The 3309-nt window shown below is 38.0% G+C and overlaps 1 annotated feature.

Annotated features, from left to right (window-relative positions):
* Positions 1-500: an enhancer, noted in NCBI's record as "H3K4me1 hESC enhancer chr1:64824433-64824932 (GRCh37/hg19 assembly coordinates)". NCBI's record gives its function as "activates a minimal SCP1, AML or CMV promoter by ChIP-STARR-seq in naive H9 embryonic stem cells {active_cell/tissue: H9 hESC(naive)}" and the evidence as "EXISTENCE:reporter gene assay evidence [ECO:0000049][PMID:30033119]".

Raw genomic sequence — 3309 nt, forward strand, 5'->3', positions numbered from 1 at the left:
TATTATGTTGAAATCCATAAGGGATGTTTTTCAGTTACCTCCTTGGAGATTGGACCTACAGGTTGGAAATGGACCATGAAGCAGTTACATACTCCGATTTTCAGTCGGGGACTCATAACTCACATTGTGATCTGTGATACGTGGCAGGAGAACTTGTGCTACAAGAAGGCATGTTAAAAATAAGGCATGAAAGGTCATAACAGTGGATTCCTCCCTCTGCAAAACTAATCAGGCATCTCCAACGGGTTTGGCATCTTAATAACAAAAGAACATGAGGGGAAAAGCCACTAAGGTATTCAGACATGAAAAACTTGTGCCATCTCACTCCTCTCTAGAAAGATTAAAGACTAGCTTCCAGGATAGGCCCAGCTAACAGTCAGGGAAACTGTCTGTAATCAATTTCAAATAAAAGATTACAATCAGAGAACCTTCTAGAAAACTGGCCAAGGTCAGTGATAATCTTATTCTTCATTATCAGGGCACCAAATATTAACACCGTTGCCTGACAGCTGCTTTCATGTTTTGTATCAAGACTAAAATGGTCTCATTCTAGTCTTAAGCCAGTGAATTTTCTGGGAACAAGTAGTTCACATTTGGTACAAGAATTCTCACCTCTTCACTGGCTTAAAGTATTTTTCCTCCCAGCTTCCCTGGCTTGCATCATGGTAGCTGCCCTCTTTTGTTTTAACTTTGAGACTGTTCCCTTGGCCTAACCCAGACAGATGACCTGTATTTTAAATAGTCTTTTAGAATCAGTTTCACCTCTGAGTCTTTAGTTTTCTCATTTATAAAGTGAGTATAACAATACCCTCCTCACAGGGTCATGGTGCAAATTCTTAACTTTAAATATGGCTCATGGTAGGGACTCATTAAAGGTTAGCATTTTCACAGCTAATTGTTCATAAAAAAGAAAAAGAGGGCCAGGCGTGGTGGCTCATGCCTGTAATCCCATTTGGGAGGCTGAGGTGGCGGATCACCTGAGGTCAGGAGTTCCAGACCAGCCTAGCCACATAGTGAAACCCCCATCTCTACTAAAAATACAAAAATTAGCCAGACGTGGTGGCAGGCGCCTGTAATCCCAGCTACTCGGGAGGCTGAGGCAGAAGAATCGCTTGAACCTGGGAGGCTGAGGTTGCAGTGAGCCAAGATCATGCCATTGGACTCCAGCCTGGGCAACAAAAGTAAAACTCTATCTGAAACACACACACACACACACACATACACACAGAGAGAGAGAGAGAAAAGAAAAAGGGATCAATTATTTCTGTTTCATAGCTGTGTCCTCAGTTAAAAGAAAAACAATGTCCATTCATGGTGGCTCATGCCTGTAATTCTAGCTCTTGGGAGGTCAAAGAGGAAAGATAATCTGAGGCCAGAAGTTCAAGACTAGCCTGGGCAACATAGTGAGACCCCATCTCTACAAAATATAAAAAGTTAGCCAGGTATAGTGGTACGTGCCTGTAATCCCAATTACATGGGAGGCTGAGGCAGGAGGATCACTTGAGCCCAGGAATTTGAGGCTGCAGTGAATTGTGATGACACCACTGCACTCCAACTGAGTGACATAACAAGACCCTGTGTCCAAAAAGAAAAAACAAAAATGGCATACATTTGCTGTTATTGTTTGCACATAATATAAACTGTTAGAATAAATAAGCTCAGCAAAGTTGCAGAATAAAAAATTAATGCACAAAAATCTGTTGCATTTCTATATACCAAAAATAGACAACCAAAAAAAGGAAATTAATTAAACAATTCTATTTACAGTACCATCAAAAAGAATAAAATACTTAGAAACAAACAATCAAGGAAGCGAAAGACTTATAAACTCAAAACTACAAAATTTTGCCAAAAGCAATGAAAGAAGACACCCATAAATGGAAAGACAGCCCACATTCATAGACTGGAAAACTTACTAGTGTTAAGATGTTACCACTATGCAAAGTGATATACAGATCCAATGCAATCCCTATTAAAATTTCAATGATGTTTTTGCAGAAATAGAAAAACCCGTCCTAAAATTCATATGGCATCTCATGGGACCCCATATAGCCAAAACAACATTGAAAAAAAACAATATTGGTCTCACATTTCCCGATTTCAAAACTTTCTGCAGTGCTACAATAATCAAAACAGTCTAGTACTGGTATAAAGACAGACATACAGAGCAATGAAATAGAATAGAAAGCCCAGAAATAAATCCTCCCACTTAAGGTCAAATGATTTTCAACAAGGGGGCCAAGACCATTCAATAGGTAAAGGACAGTCTTTCCAACAAATAGTGTTGGGAAACTTGTATATCCACATGCAAAAGAATGAAGTTGAACCCTTAGTTTCTGCCATATATAAAAATGACCAAAACATAAGAGCTAAAGCTATAAAATTCTTAGAAGAAAACATAGGGCAAAACCTTCATTGTATTGGATTTAGCAATGATTTCTTGGATATGAAACCAAAAGTACAAGCAACAAAAGAAAAAAATAGATAAATTGGACACTATCAAAATTAAAAACTTCTGTGCATCAAAGAATACCATCAACAAGGTAAAAAGGTAACCCACCAGAATGGGAGAAAATATTTGCAAATCACATATCTGATAAGGGATTAATATCCAGGATATCTAAATAACTTTTACAACTCAACAACAAATACACAAATAACCCAGTTCAAAAATGAGCAAATATTTGAATAGACATTTCTCTAAAGAAGATATGCAAATGGCTAAATAAGCACATGAAAAGATGCTCAACATTTCTAATCATAAAGGAACTGCAAATCAAAACTGCCACAAGATGCCACTTCACACCCATTAGAATGATTATTGTCAGAAAACAGAAAATAACACGTGTTGGCAAGGATGTGGAGAAAATGGAACCCTTGTGCGTTGCTGGTGGGAATGTAAAATGGTGAAGTCACTGAAAAACAGTATGACAGATCCTAAAAAATTTAAACATGGAATTACCATATAATCCGGCAACTCCACTTCTGGGTATATACCAAAAGAATTAAAAGCAAGACTCAACCTTTGTATATCAACGTTCATAGCAGCAATAGTCACAATAGACAAATGGTAGAAAAGTCCAAATGTCAATCTACGGATGAATTTATAAACAAAATGTGATATATACATACAACAGAATATTCTTCAGCCTTAAATAAAGAAGAAAATTTCCAGCCTGGGCAACATAGCGAGACCCTGTCTCTAAAAAAATAAAATAAAATTAGCTGGGCATGGTAGCTTATGCCTGCAGTCCTAGCTACTTGGGAGGCTGAAGAGGAGGGATTGCTTGAGCCCAGGAAGTTGAGGCT

The sequence above is a fragment of the Homo sapiens genome, chromosome 1 (genome assembly GCF_000001405.40).
Source record: "Homo sapiens chromosome 1, GRCh38.p14 Primary Assembly".
Taxonomy (NCBI): domain Eukaryota; kingdom Metazoa; phylum Chordata; class Mammalia; order Primates; family Hominidae; genus Homo; species Homo sapiens.